This window comes from Homo sapiens, chromosome 4 (genome assembly GCF_000001405.40).
Source record: "Homo sapiens chromosome 4, GRCh38.p14 Primary Assembly".
NCBI lineage: Eukaryota > Metazoa > Chordata > Mammalia > Primates > Hominidae > Homo > Homo sapiens.
In genome coordinates this window covers 122,190,291-122,211,650 of record NC_000004.12, presented here as the reverse complement: position 1 = coordinate 122,211,650, position 21,360 = coordinate 122,190,291, and the positions used below count along the sequence as shown (strand labels likewise).

The 21,360-nt window shown below is 32.7% G+C and overlaps 1 protein-coding gene across 43 annotated transcripts in view; it reads right to left on the bottom strand.

The window, feature by feature from the left end:
* BLTP1 (bridge-like lipid transfer protein family member 1) overlaps positions 1-21,360 on the bottom strand; it is a 210,422-nt gene that overhangs the window by 151,102 nt on the left and 37,960 nt on the right. For 41 of the 43 annotated variants that reach the window (XR_938783.2, XM_047416253.1, XM_047416259.1 and 38 more), the window contains 10 exons: positions 19,272-19,422; positions 14,860-15,016; positions 14,377-14,455; positions 12,201-12,292; positions 10,525-10,642; positions 4,386-4,541; positions 4,013-4,110; positions 2,314-2,492; positions 1,727-1,833; positions 556-764 (listed from right to left, as the gene is read on the bottom strand). Coding sequence is in view for 42 of the 43 variants with exons in the window: in XM_047416253.1 (XP_047272209.1) it covers positions 556-764; positions 1,727-1,833; positions 2,314-2,492; positions 4,013-4,110; positions 4,386-4,541; positions 10,525-10,642; positions 12,201-12,292; positions 14,377-14,455; positions 14,860-15,016; positions 19,272-19,422 (1,346 nt within the window). In the remaining variant the exon portion in view is untranslated. Of the gene's footprint in view, positions 1-555; positions 765-1,726; positions 1,834-2,309; positions 2,493-4,012; positions 4,111-4,385; positions 4,542-10,524; positions 10,643-12,200; positions 12,293-14,376; positions 14,456-14,859; positions 15,017-19,271; positions 19,423-21,360 lie in introns of those variants that run through there. The other 2 variants (XM_011532330.2, XM_024454243.1) reach the window with 2 other exon arrangements.

Sequence of the window (21,360 nt, the reverse complement as noted above, 5' to 3'; positions counted from 1 at the left end):
TCTAAGCATTAGTGCATATTTATTTAGAACCTAAGTTTGATATACTCTGAAATAAACTTATTTTCATATATTTCCTTCAGTTTTTCAAATAAAGCACCAAGCAAATATTTGTTCATTATCATAAAACGTTGTCACTTATTTTTAAGGGATTCACTTAAAGTAGTCTTTTCCATTACCAATTATTCTCAGATATATGTAGTACTTCTATTGCTACATTACTTACAATGTGTTAAAATTTGTCCATATATCTGTCTATCCTAGCTATCCCTCTAGCTTACCTCCCTGAGAACAGATGCTACATCATCTCTATCTATAGCAACTAGCACCATTCCTAGAACATACTAAATGCACAAAAGAATGCTGAACTGAGGAGTACTATTTTTAATAAATAATTTTGTAATTGAGTCTAGCACCCCAAGTCCAGTCAACATATCTGGTATATCCTCAACACTTTAAATAATCCAACTGGCTATTTCAAACGGTCTCAATTTTCAATTAAATTTTAATTGCTTTGTCTATATTTAAAAGTATGTAAGTTGTTTTTAAGAATCATACCTTTATACACAAAAAGGCATTTAGTAGAGGTCCATAGAGAGTTATCTGAGAATCTGGAGAAAGTTCCATTTCTACATGAAGTTTATCAGGTGGAAGTTCTGAGGGATCAATAGGTGGGCGTGAAGAAGTAGAGGGAGAAGAAACAACTCTGTCTGATGTCTTCTGGGATGGCCTTAATACAGATAGCATTGTCTCTTCCATTTCTGATACTGTAATAAATTAAGAAAAAAAAGACTAATGTTTGAGGGGTGGGGGACAAAAGACTTCTTGGAAGATCTTCAAGGAAATATTCACTAAGAAATTTTACTTTGCAAATATGACATCAACTAATCTTTACATAATGTATATATAATGAAAACAGACCTAAAAGACCAATAATTAAGAAAGCAAATAAAGAATAAATCATTGAAATATGAGAGAAATACATAAATCAGCCTGCAGAGAATCAATGAAAACTTTCTGTTAACATAAACAACATTCTTATTGAGTCCCTGCAATATAAATTTGGGTCACATCAAGACCTTAACTATTCTTGGGCACTAACTACAAAATTTTTTCATATAAATAGCTATTTAAATACAGTGTAATGTTATCAAGCCACTATGAAACAACTATGAAAACTATCCTTTGAAACTTAACTCACTGGAAAAATACAAAGAAAACATCATCATTTGGCTCTAATTCTTTTTTGGACCTAGGTAATAAGGCAAATTACCTTCAGGAAACTATAAATCATATGAGAACTGTCAAAATGCATTAAAGAAACTAACATTTCACAAAATCATGCACCTTAAATATGCAGATTCACACATACCTTGTTTCATATTCAGGCTCTGCTGCTTCTAGCTTGGCAGACTTTGAGAATATTACTTACCTTTTCTGAGCATATTTCCTCAACTTTAAGATAAAAATAATGATAATATCTTTCTCACAGAGTTGTTATAAGGATTAAACATAATAGAAGATAATAGAAGCCAGAAAATTGCTTGGCCCAACATTTGACACAAAGTAAATGCTCAAAAGGTAGCTACAATTAATCTAAAATATGTAAGACTATATTTATACTATGTCACAAGAATAGATGCATTTCAATTTATTTGCTTCTTATTTTTCATGATTATCAATCATAATAGCAGCTGTATAAAAGCACAAATTATATAAAAACACTTACATGATTGTTTCAGCTGTTCATCTGCTTTTTGTGGATAAATTGGATGCCATGTATAATCAATTGTAAGCATGACACTTGGGACAGTCCAGCATTCAACCCAACCAGACCTTTGAAGAGTAAAACAGACAGTTTCTAGTCAGATACTCATTCCTTTAATTGTACAGAGATACCAGTTGCAGATAATCAAATTTTATTATTATTTTTTGAAAGAAGAATTTCTCCACATATAAGCACAAAATACTTGTCACTAATTTTATTTTATTTTACTAATTGATTTATTTTTTGAGATGGGGTCTCTGTTGCCCAAGCTGGAGTGCAGTGGTGCGATCTTAGCTCACTGCAACCTCCGCCTCCTGGGTTCAAGCCATTCCCCTACCTTAGCCTCCCAGGTAGCTAGGACTACAGGCATGCGCCATGATGCCCAGCTAATTTTTGTATATTTACTAGAGACAAGGTTTCACCATGTTGGCCAGGCTGGTCTCGAACTCCTGATCTCAGGTGATCCACCCATCTCGGCCTCCCAAAGTGCTGGGATTACAGGCGTGAGCCACTGTGCCTGGCCTGTGTCACTAATTTTACGTACTCACTTTTCCTGAGTAACGTTGCGCCATTTTGGTTTAACTGTTTTCTGGCCACTTTGACACTCAGCAGGAATACCAGTATCATGAATCATCTTATTTGGATGGCAATTTTTTACCAGCATAAATAAAGAATATTTACTAGGGTGGCAGTCTGGTAGAAACAAATGAAGATCAACATCTTCTCCCTAAAAAATAATTATAATAAGCCAAAGTAATAAAATTAGTGCATAAATATGTTGGTTAATACTTACGGGCAAACCTGTCTACAACAATCTTGGAAATAAGTTTGAAAGAAAATTAACAAATTTTATTTATTTTTATTTTATTGTATTATTTATCTTTTTTTTTTTTTTTTTTTAATGGTCTCACTCTGTCACTGAGGTTGGAGTGAAGCCTTGAACTCCTGCACTCAAGTGATCCTACCAAGTAGCTGGGACTAGAGGAATGTGCTGTTTTTTGTTTTTTTTAGAGACAGGGTCTTGCTGTGTTGCCAAGGCTAGTCTCAAACTCCTGACCTCAAGCAACCATCTTGCCTCAGGCTCCCAAAGTGCTGGGATTACACGAGTGAGATAAACAAATTTGAAATGGCAGATTTTGCATTCGACAGTCAGGTAAATAATGAATAAGATTTTACATTGACTAAAACTAAATTTGAATTGAAAAACAACAAAATAATCAGGGAAAGAAACAGCATAGTTTCCAAACAGTGAAAAGAATGTCTTCCATGGGTATCCACAGATATTTTTTTTAAGTTCAGTTTTTAAAAAAACTTTTATAAGCTCAGGTGGACTATGTTCTATATTTTTATTAATTTTTCAGATAGTATTGTCTCATTTGATTCTAGTAAGTCTCATTTCTTCAACTGGCTTTTAATAATTCAGAACTGGCAAATCAAAGGATCTTCATTTGGCTTTACTTTTTTCCTAATAGGACTTCTATTCTTTGTTCATCTTGATGACTAGTTTCTTAACAGGCAGCAAGGTAGAGTGGTTAAAAGAATGGAGCCCTAAGCTATACTGCCCAATAACTCTCTAGTTGTATGATGAGTTACAAAAGCTCTGTTCCTCACTTTCCTAATGTATAAATGCAGTTAATAATAATCTCAATAGGGTTGTTCTGAGAATTGAGTTACTACATAAAGCACATGGAATAGTGTCTATGTAGTACCCAGAAAATGTTTAATAGATGTTAGCTGTTTCTATATGTTGCTAATTTTACCAGTATAACCACTATTAATACTACAAGTACTACTGGTTATCCATACCAAAAATGTTCCATAAAATTTTGAGCTTAGAAGTACATAAGAGCTGGCATTCAGATAAAAGGAAGAAAGCTACTGTGGTTACTCCTTGAATTCATGTTTACAATTAAGAATCAAATAAAGGGAAGTATAAAATTAGTTCATATGAATTAGTAAACATTAGAGCTAGAAGGGCTAACATACAGATTAGCCACAGAGATCAGAAATGAACTCTAAGAAAATAATCAACTTGAGATATTTTTAATTGACCAATTTCTTAGATGCAGTTAACTACAAAAAGAAAACAACAGGAACTCTGTGACACTAAAGGTAGTAGACATTGGAGGAAAGCTAAAAATACTTTGAAGTTGCAATGGACTGGGGAGAAGAGAGTGAAGATAAGCTTTGGGAAATCAAATTTACTAATACACCTGTGGAATAAATAATGCATTCAACTATACATACTCTTAAAGAGAACTTGGTATTACATGTAGCTGGAACAAAGTCCGTAAAAGGCAAAGAAAAATCAATGTTTAGTGTTTCTCCACAGGCTGCCAGATACACTACAAAAGAAAAAAAAAAAAAAAAAGAAGAAAAAGTAAATTTACTTTTAATGTCCATTAAATTTCAATTATAAAATTGCCTAAAATGCACAACTAAACAAAATTAAGTTTTAGTCCAATACAAACTCTGAAACAGTCTTCTGAGAGTCTCACAAAGATAATGGGGGGAAATAACTTCTAGTATCTGTTAAAACTATCAAATCAATACTAATTTTCTTAGTTGGTATTTGCCTTAATGAGAGAAATATTTAACCTAATTTTTTTTAATGTCTTACCATTTTCCTGTTGTTTAGTAGAACAGTCGATCCAATTGTGTTGATTAGCAGCCCAAATCATTTCAAACTGATGAAACATGATTTTAAAATTCCACGTATATGGAACAAATGAAAAAATGTCTGGAGGACTGTCACTAGACCAGTCTTGAATTAAATCTAAAATTATTGGGGTAGTGAATAGAAATTGTAAAGTTAGTTGAAACTCAGAAAAGTAAAACACAGATTTTCTAACACCAGTCAAAAATGAATTTTTCTTTTGTGTAACTAAAAAAATTTTATACTGAAATATTTAAAAGGTGATTAGGATGTATTTAAATAATTTGACAGTAAACAGATGTTTACTTACTAATCACAGTTCCAAATAAGAGAAATTTTATATATTAATATATCTATTTTTAAGGAATTTTAGAAAATTAAAAAAAAATCACCTGCTGTTCCACTACCCAAATAGCCAACATTGTGGATACAGTTTCTTCCAGTTATTTTTCTACACAGACTGACACTATCCTATATGCACATTTTTTATGTGTTGCTTCTTTCACTGAACTCAAATATTTTTCCGTGTTATTTCACACGTTTACATAAATTTGGCATAATAGCTCATTAATGAGATTTGTCAGGACCTACTTAACCATTTTTTATAGTTGGATATTTATACTCTTTCCAAATTTTTGTGTTATATATATTATCATGTATTATATATTTTTGTAAAAGATATTTTACATATTCAGGATTACTTGTCAGTATAGATTCTAGAAGTGGAATTGCTGGGTCAAAATTTAGGAATATTTTTCAAGACTATTATAAATTGCACTCGAAGAGAAGTGAGTCCATTTACACTCCTACCGGAAAGGTATGCTTGACTACCTATTTCACTGAACTTTCTTCTGCATTCTATTTCTTTCTATCATCTATCTGTTTTTTGTTTTGTTTTACTTGACATTTAATAACTGAAAAATGGTATCTCGCTTTCACTGAACTTCTTAACTACAAGCATGGCTGAACAATTTTTCATGTTGTTTTATTAATTAAACAAATATCTACTGTCTACTGTGTCTCAGGCTCTGTTCTAGACTCTAGGACTACAATGGTGAATGAAACATAGACTTGACTTTCTTAGAATTATAATCAATCATATTTGTTCATTGCCAATTCACTGTATGTTTAAACTGCTTTTTAAAATTGTGTTCATATATTTTGTCTGTTTACCCTTTGGTACTTTAAGTTTTTTTAATCCCAATAAATAAAAGCTCTTTAAAGACATTAGCACTGATCTACCATCTACCATAGCAGTTTGTACAACTTTATCTTCTGGCCTCCACAATGTTTTACATGCATTGTACACTCCCAGCAATGTCTTTCAATAAAAGGGCTCCTCCTAGAGGTGTCAAACTCACCTTTGTATACTCACAGTACATAACACAATACCATGTACATAAAATTAGAACGTGTGTGTGTGTGTGTGTGTGTGTGTGTGTGTATGTGACAGAGAAAGAGAGAGAGAGAAACAACTGGAAAAGGTATTATTATAGCACAGACTTTAGAGAGAGAGAGAGAGGGAAACAATTGGAAACAGTATTATTATAGCACAGACTTTGACACTAGAGAGAGAGAGAGAGAGAGAAGGGGGGGGAAACAATTGGAAACAGTATTATTATAGCACAGACTTTGATACTAGAGAGAGAGAGAGAGAGGGAAACAATTGGAAACAGTATTATTATAGCACAGACTTTGACACTAGAGAGAGAGAGAGAGAGAGAGAGAGAAACAATTGGAAACAGTATTATTATAGCACAGACTGACATTAGACAGTCCTGGGTTTAAATTCTGACTTTATCATTTTACTAGCTGTGTAACCTTGAAAAAAGTGACTTAAATGTTATCAGTTTTCTCTTGTACAAAATAAGAACAACCTCACAGACTTATGATGAGAATTCAGACGATTTATGTAAAGTTTGAACAAAGTAACTGGCACAGGGTAAGCACTCCACAAATGGTAGCGTTTATTATTAAAGATATCCTAAGGAAAATTACAGGTAAAACTGTGAAATATTTAAAGTAGTTTTCCTTGTATTTTAAAGGTGATATTTAAACAGAAAAAAGATTCAATAATGAACTCAGAGTAAATTTATCTTACATAATATCATATGAACCCATTTAAAATTTAGCTGCCACATACAGAAGCTAGCACAAATGTATTAGAAACTCTTGTCTTACTAAAATGGCAGAATAACATACTTAATGTCAAATGACAATCACAAATTAATATTAATGAGATATAGAGTTTTACTGCATCAACAATAAAAGGCATGTGGCTATTAACCTGTTCTATTAATAGACAACAGAAAATTCCATTTATCAAATTTACCTTAAATATATTTTTATTTAACAATCACAGTGATTCATCACACTTTACATAATCTATGCTTACCTCAAATCTTTTACTCCTACCTAACTAGGCTGACTCTATCCCTGCTTTCTAACTTTAGTCTTTAGCACAGCGTCTAACACTTGGGAAATGCCCAAAAATCATCTCCGGATATAACCAACTCTACAATATATTCATCATTCATCAGACTGATTTTCTCACCTTTTTCACTCATTCATAGTTCAGCATTTTTGGTCAAACTAAATACTGTCTTTCATATCCTCTCTGCTAAGGAAAAACTAACCATCTTTATTGCCAACATAATATTACAGAGAAGGCAAACAGTCTGCAGTCTGAAAATTGTTCTTAAATGTCTTCCACCTCCTAGCCTCATAAGTCTGCCCAAGTCATGCAATGTTTCTATGCCTCAAGTTCCTCATTATTAACTCAGGGATAGTAATAACAGCTACCCTATTTTAGAGTTATGTGAAGATAATACAAGTGAACATGCTTTGTAAATGGCAAAATACTATCCTATTTTAGTTAAAACTACTGAATTCATTTAAAAACACCATTTCAGACCTTAGTGTCTTTCCTTACTTTCTCTGATTACCTTCAGACAACAGTGATTTCCTCTGTACTCAGGTCTTACATGCATTTGTCAGCTTCACATTTCACACTTGCATTTTGCACTTGCACTCAATATACATAATGTCTGGTATTGTTTCATTTGTCTATGTCTAGTACACATGCCAATGTACTTGAGACAAATAATACAAAACAAGAAATGCCCATAAGTGAGGGCAGAGATCATATTTAATGTTTGTTTTGAATCTCTATTCATGTATGAGACTTACAATGTATATTGGTTGTATTTTATCTACTTTATACTTCTATTAGTCAAAAGATTGAGATACGATTGCTAGTGAAATAAACAAAAATTGAACTAAACAGAAATTCAGATTACTACTTATTTGAAGAAACAAGTATAATTTTATAAAGTTATTAGCCAAATTCTATTTTAACAAATCTTATTATTTTATTCTTTAACAACTCATGTGAAATGTTGCAGCTATTAGTCTATTTCTAATAAATCGTGTTAGTTTTTTTCTTTAATAACTAATTTAAAATTTCAACATATCATTTTATAATTAGTTTACCTACCAGTTTCTATAACATCTTTACTGATAAATATTAAAAATTATGGTGACAAAATATTTTTATTAGGAGCATCAACAATTTTTTAATATGCATTGTTATTAAACCAAAATCTGTTTCTCATTACCAGATAGTCTTATCAAATAATCTGATTAGAAAAAGGAAGCACTTTCCTGATGACTGCCTTACTCATTTGTACAATGAATTAAAAAGTTATGGCAAGCTAAATGTTACTCTGAAAAAACCCACCAACAACTCACTTTATCTTTAAGTTGTTAGGCAAACACCCTATAATACATCAATCAATTGGTATTAGAGCTTTTCAATGCCAGTGTATTATTTTCTTCTCCTCCTTATCAGAGTAAATCTAAGTTATTTTCATTATTCCCAGAAGAGGCTTCAGTTTCTGCTTTTGTTTTATAGCTTTCATTTCTGAGGCTCTATATTATATTTATCATAAAGCTATCTTTGTCCCACATTGAAATCTCTTAAGAACAATTTTATCTTATTAATAAATGGTATGAGAATGGCTGTTCAGGAACATTAGGCATTCCCTCACATCAGAGAGATAATTTCTTTTCTATAGAATTCCAACAATAGACAAAGCAATCCAAACACTATGACCAAGTAGGTTCACTCCAATACTAAACTAATATTATTCTCTAGTAGTTGTCCTTTTTAGAGAATAAGTTTAAAAAGGACTCTACAGTTATTTGTTATGCTATATGTCTTTTAAAAACAACAGAATATGACCAATTGTTAGTTGTTAAATCTGTAAAACGGTGATTATGTTTACTTTTGTATCTATGTTTTTAAAAATTTCTCCAAATAAATTTTATTAAAAAAATAACCAAAAGAGTGAATTTCAATAGAGAAAGCATAAAAATTAGAGTTAGAGAAAGAAAATAATTTAAGGAAAATCAGTTGCAATTTAGGAAATGTGTACTTAGCTGTTTCGATGTAACTAACACAATAGTGTAAATGAAAGTGCTAGTACAAAATAATATTTTCAAATCATGAAGAATGTATATGTCTACTGCAGCTATTCTTAGCACTGCAAGAGTCTAAAGATGGGAAATGTCTGGAAGAAAAGTAATGTGAAGGAGTAAATACTTGATGATAGGTATCTATTTTAAAAGATTAGTAAAGTTAAAAAATACAAAATCTTAAGTGAGAAGCAAAAGGCTAGTCAAAGAGGTAAGTAATGTAACAGATTCTTGAGCCAGACTACTTGAGTTAGAATTCCAGCTCAACCAAGTGTGACCCTGGACATACTGTTTTACCTCTCTGTAACTCATCTTCCTCATCTATAAAGTAAGGAAAATAATAATAATATTGATCCCTGAGAGTTATTGTGAGGATTCAATAATTTAATATGTGCAAACTGCTTAGGACAGAGCCAGACACATAATAAACACTATAAGTTTTAGCTATAATTTTTTTCATAAATTTGAACTGAGAAGTGTTTATTCAATGCTCTGCTTCACTAGCAAAAGCTTAACTTGCCAGGGACTGTCAAAATTTCTACTACTGGGACATTGGTTCAAGCCTTGGAGAAGTATGTAACTCCAGGAAAGCAGAAGCAGTCTATCTAGTCCCCAAGGCTCCCAGTCAAACCAGAAAAGAAATATGAAAGACTTGATTGAACATATTGCAATAAGAGGCATTTTAAAAGGTCAAAACTCTAGTAATAGCAAAATTAGGGTAGAAATTGTTATCCCTATTTCACAAACAAGGAAACTGAAGCTTAAACAGTGAAATCATTTACACAACATTATAGAGCAGTATTGTCAGGAGAGGACTACCTACATATGCCTTAAACACCACTACACCTCCAAATATCTAATAGTACTCAGCATCGATGAGACGCTTGTATAAAACAACTGTTGCACAAATGGATGGATGGATGGATGGATAAATGTAGCAAGCAGTCAAGCAAAGATTAGGTTTCTGTGGAACAGCCAACTGACCCTGGCAAATTAGACCAACTTTATGGGGCTAAACTTTTTAGAAGAAGACTCAATAAATGCCACTTATTTTAATGTAGTAATATTTATGCTATTCATAGACCAACAATATGTGTTCTTATAGTCACAAAATATGCAAAGCTATCAATAAATGCTGCAAGAAATAAAGGAATGTTTCTTCCAACTAGTGACAGCACCAACTCAATTATCCATGCCAACAGAAAAGATTAAATAAGGGCTCCAAGTATAAAAATAACATTTAGCTATTTGCGTATACTGTTGTGTATTATAATTATTAAAACAAAATAATGAAGCCATGCTGATGCCTAATTTGGGAAGAGAGAGAAATTGATTCATCATCTCCATCCTACCCTCCAACTAGACTGATACAAAGCAGCAGCCTAAATTGAGTTCTTTCATTTCCTTCTAAGCTCAATTTGGGGTTTATATTTTCCTTGTTTAGGTTAGAAAAGAATGCAAAATGTCTATATTTAAATTTTCTCTTTAACATTTTCAGCCCAAAATGAAATGTTGAAGAAAATATGAATCATATCATATCCCTATGTAATTTAAAAGTAAAACTTATCAAATGTAAACAAGTTCACTGTGATAAATCTCACTGTATTTATATCTATTAGAAAATTACCTGTAAAGAAGTTTTTCTGTGCAAAGATGAAGTGGTAAGTGGCTTTATAAACCTCTAATTCACACTGCCATGTCTGCGGCATGTTCCATATTCGGGGGTAGCTGGCATTGATGTGGAACTGCAAAACAAATGTTAGGTAAAAGTAATTAAGGCTTAAAATGTGACACTGTGTGAACAGCATTAGAAATGAAGTTACACACGCTAGTGAGTAATTAAAACATTTTCCTACTGAGCTGAACAGAAGGTCCCTTTGAGACTTTAATATTGCTGTGGCTGAAGGTCAATATCCATGGCTACATCTAGCTCCTTGAAATATTAAGTCAAGATGTGGTCAAAAAACTTTCAGAACAACAAATCAGGCTACAGTGTTGATACTGCACTCCAGATAAACCAATGGGGTAACAACCGACATCCCTAATTTCTCCTTAAGCCTCATCTGTTAAGTGACAGGCTCAGTGTGAAGGAAGATAGAGTGTGATGCGTACTGTCACACAAAGTAACATTAGTATTTCTGCAGTTTGGCATTTTTTTTTTTTTTTTTTTGTTTTGAGACGGAGTCTCACTCTATTGCCCAAGCTGGAGTGCAGTGACACATCTCGCCTCACTGCAACCTCCGCCTCCCAGCTTCAAGCAATTCTTGTGCCTCAGCCTCCAGAGTAGCTGGGATTACAGGCATGCGCGCCATCACACCTGGCTAATTTTTGTATTTTTAGTAGAGGCAGGGTTTCACCATATTGGTCAGGCTGGTCTCGAACTCCTGACCTCAAGTGATCCGCCTGCCTCAGCCTCCCAAAGTGCTGGGATTACAGGTGTGAGTCACCACATCCTGCGCAGTTTGGCATTTCTGCAAAGGGAAAAGCTGCCTACCTAGGAAGAGCATTGTCACACAGCACTATTTATCAGCAATAGATGAAGAATTCATTAAAATACTGAATATGCCACTTTAAGGTATATTTATAGTATTTTATATATTCCTGTTAATTGCAGAATTTTTCTCTTAATTTACATATGTCATATGTAAAATGTTTAAGACAAGAAATTAAGAACCTTATGGCACCATCTTATATGAAAGAATCTCTGAATATTAACCATTTTACATAGCAGCTTTTGTTATTGTTAGTGTTGTTGTCCCTGATAGTAATAATAATAATAATCTGCTTGATTAATGAGTCCCCAATCAGCAATTTTAATCATGGGCATTTACATATTGTTTCTCTTTATAATATGAAACAATCCAGGGTATCAACAAGATTTTCTTCATTTTACCTTACTCATCAAGTAAAAGGCACAATAAATTACATTATTTAAACCCTGGGAAAGAAATCCAGCGGGGCTAGAAAACATATATTAAAGAATTATCTTACTTAGAACTTAGAAGAGATTTAATCCAGCCACACAATGTACTTTAAAAACAATATTCTAACAACTTCTCATATTTTTCAGGCCAAAAACATGTATCATTGCCTTTTATTCACCTCCCTCATACTAGAAGGAGAGCAACAGAGAGATGCCAACAGGAGTCCATAGCACTGGGAATCCACTCCTCTTCCCTAGCTGTTCTTGAACTAGAAGATGGACCATTTGATGATTTCCTGGTTACTTAAACTTAATATAAGAAAATTAAAATCAATTGTTTTTCATACAAGTATGTATATCATCATGTACTACAGACTTACTGCTAACATTTCTGCTTCTAAAAGGGTCCGATATTGCATGCTGGTAGTGGCATCCACATGTAAGAGTTGTCCCTTAATAGCAGGAGTGTAACCTAATAATAAAAACATAAAAACTAAGAACCAGGAAAACAATTACAAAATGAAACATCTTTGGACTAGAACCAACTCCTACCACCACTCAAAGAAGGAATCCTTGAAAAATGGTAGTCACTATTTAAACACACCTCAGTGACAGGGAGCTTGCTAACTTAATAGGTGATCCTTCTCATGTTCTAAAGGAACAAAGTTCCAACTCCATATAATATCTATTCTGATTTTACTTTCCTTTGTAGTTTGCAAAACTACAAGTCTATTCTTTAAACAGTAGTTTTCAGTTACAGAACACAACTACTTTTCTTCTTCCACTGACTCAAGGGTACATATTTTCATCATTTTCAACTACTCCTTATATAATGATGGTTACTAAGTAACAGCTATTCCCCTCATGTAATGACAGTTTCTCAGCAATATAGTCCATTCTCAACAAAAGCTGAATAGTTTAGAGTATTGTATTTCCTTTCTTAAAGAAATCTCTTCCTATGAACACTACTTCTGTGGTCACTATTATATGGCTAGTTCCACATGCATCCTGCATTCTGCTCTGGGCTTTTTTTCTTTTTTTAAATACCTGAATCTCTAAAAAGTTTTGTTATATATTGTTCTTGCCTGACACCTAAGTCCATTTTCTCTTTGCCAGTTGTCTTAAAAGCTACCTAACCTCTATACCCAAAACCTGACTGGGCTTTCCTTAGACCCTTAACTCAAGAGTTCCACAACAAGTATGCTGTGGTACTTGCCACACATTTATAATAGATATACTCAAGATATTGACTCCTCAGTCCTCAGGTGACTCCTTTACTCCAGTGTACCAGTATTTGTATAATACTGCATAAAACAGTAAAAATACTATTTCCTATGTGTATCATCAGTTGTGAAAAGGCAGAAGCACTTCCTTAACTGAAACATTATCAATTGCGTAAAACTCTCAACTGCCTTTATACCCCATCATACACCTGTAAAAGATGTATGGCTTTTCTAAAAGATGCTTTTGGCTTTTCTAAAAGATGCTTCTTTCGAACTGCGTACTCTGAATTAGCACTCCTAGAGAATCTCAAACATTTCCTTCAAGCCTTAGTAAGATTGTATTTTTAACACTAGATAAGGGTTAGTTATTCACTAAAATAGCCTCAGAGTTATGGGGAAAAGATACACTATGCCATTCACAGTCACTTTTTCAATTGATTATCTAAGCAGGCAGGCCTGAATGCTACCACTTTACATAAACTAATGAACGTAGTCAACCCTCTGCCTGCTTTCCTCTTACAGCACCAAAATAAGTGACAGAACCAAGAAACAAGAGCTAAGAATTACACAAAAATGAATTATACTTAGCAACAGAAACACTAATGATGATTGATTTTAAATGTGGGTAAGTTGCTACTCTTTACTCTCAAGAAAGAAAATAAAGCAGAATTTCATCTTAACTGCTCTCAATTACAAGGCAAAATGAAGTTATAACAATTTGATAAATTTAACAAAAAGTATTTATTCATGTTATTAACTGTGTCAGTGCCCATATTTCAAGTGCATGATCAACTTAGATCATCTCAGCTCAGATGAAACTAAAGCTGTGAGGACACACTTTAACATTTTTAACATGAAATGTTTATTAAAGTTATGCCACTCAAAGTACCCACCCGGCTTACTCCCTGACGAAATCTACTAATAATATAACCTAAAACAAAGCCTTGCAGTCATCCAATCAATTACTGCCCAAACGTCTGGTACAGGGTTCAGCACTGAGAATACACTAAAGAAAAAAAACAGCACCTGCTCTCAAAGTGCAACAGTCTAACTGGAAAACCATGCATTAAGTAAATTATGCTCAGTTCTACAAAAGAAATGTATACGTTATAATAAAAGCATATAAGACTGAACTTGATTAGAAAAGGTTTCCCTTTTCTCTAAATGCTCAATTATATAATATTTCCCTTTAATGAGTATAGGCACATCAAAATATAATTAAAAAACTGAAAAAGAAAACCTTATTAATGTTAGTCTAAGATGATTAACAAACTTTATTATTTATAATTATTTCCCTAATTATTTAAAAAGAAAAGTAACAGTTGCAGCTTACCATTTTCTTCAACTGTCATTGGAATATTAATTTCTAAATATGAGCCAGCTCCTACATTTACATGTACAGCATTTGTTTCCTACCAAAAGAAAAAAATTAATTCATATAAAACATTAATTATAATTATTCTCCCATCTTTACTTTTCAGTTATTATTACAGAAGAAATTATTGATGTTAAGTAAGTATTACAAGTTCCTAAGAACAAAAGTTCAAATTTTTACCAAAAATACACTAAAACAATTTAGCCAGATATAAAGGAGAAAATGAGCCAGAATATAGCATGAAGGTCTATTACTATTAATTTCTTCCCATTATTTGACATTTAACAAAATTATGATGATAGTAAAATACATAAAATTATTTCAAGGGAAAACAGCTCATATAAATTAATCCAAGTATGGGACTAGTCACCAGGAAAAAACTCTGAAAAATAATGTCAAAATTTTAAATACTATTTTCTACTATATTATTATAATAATTACCCTATTTTTGGTAAACAGCAAATCAATTGTAGCATCTGCAATAATATTCATTCGTAATTCAAAAGCAAGGATCTGTCTTGGTCTCCCAGGCTGTGCAATTTCAGAAACTTTCAGAACTTGATAGTCAGGTGGAAAGAAAAACTTCCACAAACAATCTCTACATTAAGGAGGTAGAAAGAATAATGACATGTTATTCAAACAAAATTACTTCTGATAAAGGAACATAATCAATATTCTAATTTTTTATTATCATTGCTATCACATTTGACAATTAGACTGTTTTCTGTAGTATTTAACACTTCCAGAGATCAATGAGCCTTGATTACTCAATAGATATACTATTATCAAATGAGACATAAGAGAAAATTTGCACTATTCAAGATTACTACGACAAACTAAAGACTCTCTACAAGTATATAAATTGCTCAAATGGCAAACAAAGAACTGACAGAGGATAGCTTAATTAAAATCATCATTCCAACCTGGACAAGTTACTCAATCTTCCCCAGAAAATTTGAGCTGCTTCCTCTTCTGTAACACAGGAATAATATACCTTGTCTCATACAAAGGCTCAGAGGTTTAAATGGTAAGACACATGGAAAACACTTAGCAGTGCATGGCACATGGAAGAATTGGCTATTTCTATCAGTTTCATAATCACTTTAAATCAATATTATATCATTAAAAGGCTAAAGAGCAATAGATTTCTAAAAGGTAAATAGGTATTTGGAGGCTAAAGTACTAATGTTTTTGCCTCCCCTTATCATTTGACAAAAATGAAAGAGCCCAAGATATTTTCAATTCAGAGTCTTCTACATGAGCTAACATTAGTATTGTATAATGTTACTCATACATTCAAAGAAGGTGCCAGTCTATGGCTTTAAAACAGGAAGGGTTGAGTCAGCAGTGACAGAAAATGCTACCTAGAATAAATTAAGACTGGGAAAAATTAGATGAACCAGACAAAATCTGTACACTAAGTCTCACAGACTTTAACTTGCTACCGTTAAATTAAAATATATGAAAGGAAAATAAAGTTCTGCAAATGTTTTAAGACACATAAATATAGAAAATTAAGAATATTAAGGATAGAGAATCCATTAGATGATCATTGACTACAAGGTGGGTAGATAGGAGGACATAATGAGAAGGGCAGTAGACCTGAAGGGCTGCTTTGAACCTCAGCACTTCATGCTGTAGCTTCACTATCTTGCCCAAATCACTGAACCTCTCTGCGTCTCCATTTTCGCACAAGTTTAATGAGTTCATTACATCTGTCCTATGAATCTCACTGAGTTATAAGGATCAAGTCAGAAAATACTAATGAAAGTACTTTAAGTGAAAGCAATAAAAAAAAAAATGCCAGACAATGTTAGGAAGGTTTGTATTATTATAATCATCATCTGAAGATTAAGTTTCATTGTAAAACAGTTTGTATTTCAACTCTGTCATGAAAATTCATAAAAAGAAAACATGAAGTAAAAACTGAATAATATCTTAAATATTCAGACAACCATGTAAAGGTAGTAGAACTGACACCAAAATCTAGAAACTAAAATCATGTTATGATTATAAAATCTATAGGCTAAAACCATGCTATTTCAAAAGTCAGTAACTCCTCACAATGCTGAGTGAATTATCCAATAGCAAAACAGCTGAGATTTCTTTCTGTATGCCTTATGTTAATAGATGGCTGCTAAGAAAACTGTCCTTACTATTCATTACTGATTACAGTTTGTATTTGTGCAGAAACTCAATACAGGGAAGGAGAAGAGGAAACGGCTGCATAAGACCTTTTGAACATGTAATTGAGGAGACAAATATTGCTCACATTAGTGAATTTAATATATGTGAAAAATAGATTTCTTTTTTTTTTCTTTTTTAAATAAACCTGAGTGTTTTTTTTAAAGTCCGGGTTAGAAATGCATTGCTCTTCTCTCCTGGCAGTGGAAAAATCTACTGAAAGGAGTGGTTAAAGCAAATTTCTATCTTCACTGTCATTTCTCTACTGCATTTTAGTTTGGGTTTTTGTGTAAATATACCCTAAAATTTATGAAAAATACATAATGAAATTAAATACAGTTTAAGAAGAATCACACTTTATTTAAGTGCTAAAAAATGCAAACACACTTCATGGCCCTATGTTAAAGCATTATTTTCATTTTTTCTTCGCAAACAATACATAACTGTTCTGCCAACCTAATAAAATAAACCTTTCTTGAGATTTCTCAATATAGTTTAAATAGATGTAGCTCTATTACTTAATGAAATGTAAAATCTCTCATTTTCAACTATATGCTATATGTCAAATATAGCATGACTTATAGGAAAATTTTACCAGAAGAGGAAAATTTAAATCCAATAATGTGAAAAGTATTTTCTTTCTAACGTGAAATTTTATGCTCTGCTTACTTTCAAGTTTAACAAATGACCTAATGCAGAACTTAATGAAGTATTGTTTTAGCATAATGCAAGAATTTTCAAATAACGAGCTTATTCATTTACCATATAATTGTTAGTTAGCTACTTAATGAGGCAGGTATTCCTATATACTACAGATAACAAGATTAATAGAATATACTGTTCGGTATATTATACCTCAACCAGCCTTCTTAGAATATACTACTTGAGGCCGGGCGCAGTGGCTCACGCCTGTAATCCCAGCACTTTGAGAGGCCGAAGCGGGCGGATCACGAGGTCAGGAGATCGAGACCATCCCGGCTAAAACGGTGAAACCCCGTCTCTACTAAAAATACAAAAAATTAGCCGGGCGTAGTGGCGGGCGCCTGTAGTCCCAGCTACTTGGGAGGCTGAGGCAGGAGAATGGCGTGAACCCGGGAGGCGGAGCTTGCAGTGAGCCGAGATCCCGCCACTGCACTCCAGCCTGGGCGACAGAGCGAGACTCCGTCTCAAAAAAAAAAGAATATACTACTTGACAAAATATATAATTCTAATAATGCTAGCTAGATGGCACTTTTTAAAAAAGCATTTAAAAAGTCAATACATCAAGTTAGTATCAGCACTCTTTCACTAATCTATCAATGGCCCCGTAATATCTGCTCAAGTGAACGACTTGGCTTGTATTTCTCTATTCAAAAAAGCTAGTTCATGAATAGAAAAACTAAACTAATTTAACTAATTTTAAGAAATGTCTAATTTTGTACATAAAAACTTAGATGCTCCCTCATATTTAATGGTAAATGTCCCCTTCTTTGTTTAAAATTCTTCAAGAAGTAGAAAAATGTTCATAATATATTAAAAATTAAAAATACTTTAAAATAAAATGACATTATAAAATCTATACCTCTTAACCACTATAGACTATAACTATAGAACAATTCTCCACTATCCTCATGCATTTATAAAACTCTTCCCTTGCCTCAATGATTCACCCTCCTCTTCTTTCCCTGGCTAACTCTCAATTATCTTTCAAAACTTAATTTACACGTTACCTCAACCAAACAGCCTTCTTCTCTCCCCTAATCTTTAATATAAATTATATACTATATACTAGGAATACCAAGTAACCTAAAAATTCATACATTGAAGTCCTAACCCCTAAAATTCATATGCTGAAGTCCTAACCCCCAGTACCTCAGAATGTGACTATATTTGGAGATGGGGTCTTAAGAAGGGTAATTAAGTTAAAATGAAGTCATTAGTGTATGCTGTCCTAATCCAATATGACTGGATAGTATGATCTGGACACAGAGGTACACAAGGGAAAGACCACATGAAGATACTGGAAAACAACAGCCATCTACAAGTCAAGGAGAGAGGCCTAGATCACATCCTTCTCTCATAGCCCTCAGAAGGAACCAATCATGCCACCACCTTGTTGGAGGACTCTTAGACTCTAGAATTGTGAGAAAATACATTTCTGTTGCTTAAGCCACATTATCTGTGATGCTTTATTAAGGCAGCCCTAGCAAACTAGTAGAGTACTTTTCTAAGTTCTTCATGAAGACCCTTTACTTACCTTTATTATAGCACCTAATATTAGTCTTTTGGTTCTTTCTTCCCCACTAAAACTGGAAGATATATGTCTTTTATTTCTGAATTCCCATAGTCCCAACAATATCTGGCATATAGTAGGGGATCAATGAAGAAATCGTTGTTGATTAAATCCAAAAGAAAAAAAAATGAACCAACAAATATGCTCCTCATTCTAATCAATCTAATTCTAATCAATCAGAATTAGATACTAAGTCTAATCGATCAGCTCCACCTTTGGAATGAACTTGCTTGTGGAGAAGCCACAAGCAAGTTTTTCTTTGGATCAAAATGTTTAGTGATATCTTCCTCTGCCATAATAAAATAGTTTATAAAAATTTTAAGCTAGCTTTTATTTAAAATTATATACATCTAAATACATCTAAAAAACTTATTAGAAATATAACATACTCAAGTACCTCTGCCTATCGGCCCATGGTCCATAATTAAAATCTGTTCCTTTACCACAAACTATATCCAGTCCCCAACATGGAGGCAAGTCTTGTAATTTGCAATCCTCACTGCTCATTTCTCCTTCAATATTTTCTTCTGTTTCTTCCGGAACAAGTCCTATATTCCAGAACATACAATATAAAGGCAGTTATTTAAAATGGCCATTAAAAAGTTTCCTTAGATCAGTAGCTCCAACATTTTTTGGTCTCAGGAAACCTTTACACTCTTAAAAATTATTGAGAACCTAAAAGGGGTTGTTCTCATATTGTCTTATGTCTATCAAGAATTACTATGTTCAAAATTAAAATTTAGCAATTTTAAAAAATATTTTAAAAATAAACTCATGTTGACATAAAATATTTAATGTAATTAAATATAACATGTAATATAAAATTAAATGAAATTTTAATCTCACTTTTAATGAAGAATAACTATTTTCTAAAACAAAATAATTTAGTGATAAGTATAAGAGGTTTTTTTGGCAAATCTCTAATGTCTAGCTTAATAGAAAACAGGTGGATTCTCATAGCTGTTTCGGCATTCAATCTGTTACTGAAGGATTTGGAAAAGATCTGGCCTCGTAAAGATATGTAGATAGAAAAGGGAGGAGTATTTTAATAGCTTTTTCAGATAATTTTTAATACTCTTCTTTGATACTACCCCAAAATTCAACAAATGGAAATTTCTTAAAGGTTAATTGCAATGTGGAATCTGAAGCCATATCACTAAACTTTTCATACACTGTTATGTTAAAATCTACTGGTCTATCTTGCACTTTGAATACATTTATCTATGCATGACTTTTGTAACATCATGCATTGGGAAATACGGGTTCACTGAGTAATGCAAATTTTTTCCAAATATTCACCAATTCCATTATTAAACATTTAAAAACATCACACTTGCTATATCATTGGTGGTCTCATCATAAAAGATGTTAACTATTGGGATGCTGTCAAGCTCATAACAGCAGACTCCAATTTTCCAAAGTTCTAATTTTCACAAGAAAGCTCAAATTATAGTTTGTCTCTAATTACTCTTTCAAATAAAACTGGCACTCCATGAAAAAAAAAAATGCAATTAGTGCAGCTTGCAACTTAATCATACAAGTGCTTTTCCTCAAGACACCAGAATATTTTGGTATGCAGCACAAGCACTTTATGTGTACTTCCCATTTTCTCACACCAAATATTAAAAACACTTTAATCAAAGGTCAACATTTGACAAAATAAATAATTTCTATTGCTTAATCAAGGAAATTTTAATGTGATTTTGACATTTTGTTTTACCGTAAATGTGTGGCAGTTGAAAAATACAATGACTACTAGTATAATTAGGAACCATTTCCTTGATTAGTGTTAAAGCAACAACAGTTTTACCCACCATTGCTCTGCACCATTAGCACAAATGTCAACATGGTGAAAAGGCAAATAACATCTTAGTTTTACTTTCAAAATACTTTGACCTTAAATACTTTTATACTCTGAAAGGTATAAAAAGAGCAGAAGTATGAAAAAAGAGCTTAAAACCCAATGTTTAGATACTTTTAGAAAATGGAAGCCACCTGTCAAGAATTCTAACTAGATGAATTTCAATCCTCAAACTTTAAGTCTCAAATCTAATATACTAAGCTTCTAAGCTAAGATGAACTACCTTAACTATCACTACATCCTTTAAAGGTTTTCACTCATGATCATTTGCATTCTCAATTTTTGAGGTTTATCTATGAAAACTGAATTTGAAAAAAATAATGTTCTCTTTTAATCTATAATACTAAACTAATATTCAAGTTTTGAGAAATGACACAGATATTTTTCAGATATTTTCACTCTTATCTACATTTACCATTTCCTGATGGCTAAGCAAGAAGATTTAAAATATTACTAGATATCAGCATTTCATAGAAGAAATAGAATTGTAGCTATGAAACATACTTTTAAAAAAAAACAGGCCAGGCACCATGGGCTCATGACTACAATCCCAGCACTTTGGGAGAATGAGGCAGGAGGATCACTTAAGGCCAGGAATTTGAGATCAGCCTGGGCAATATAGCGA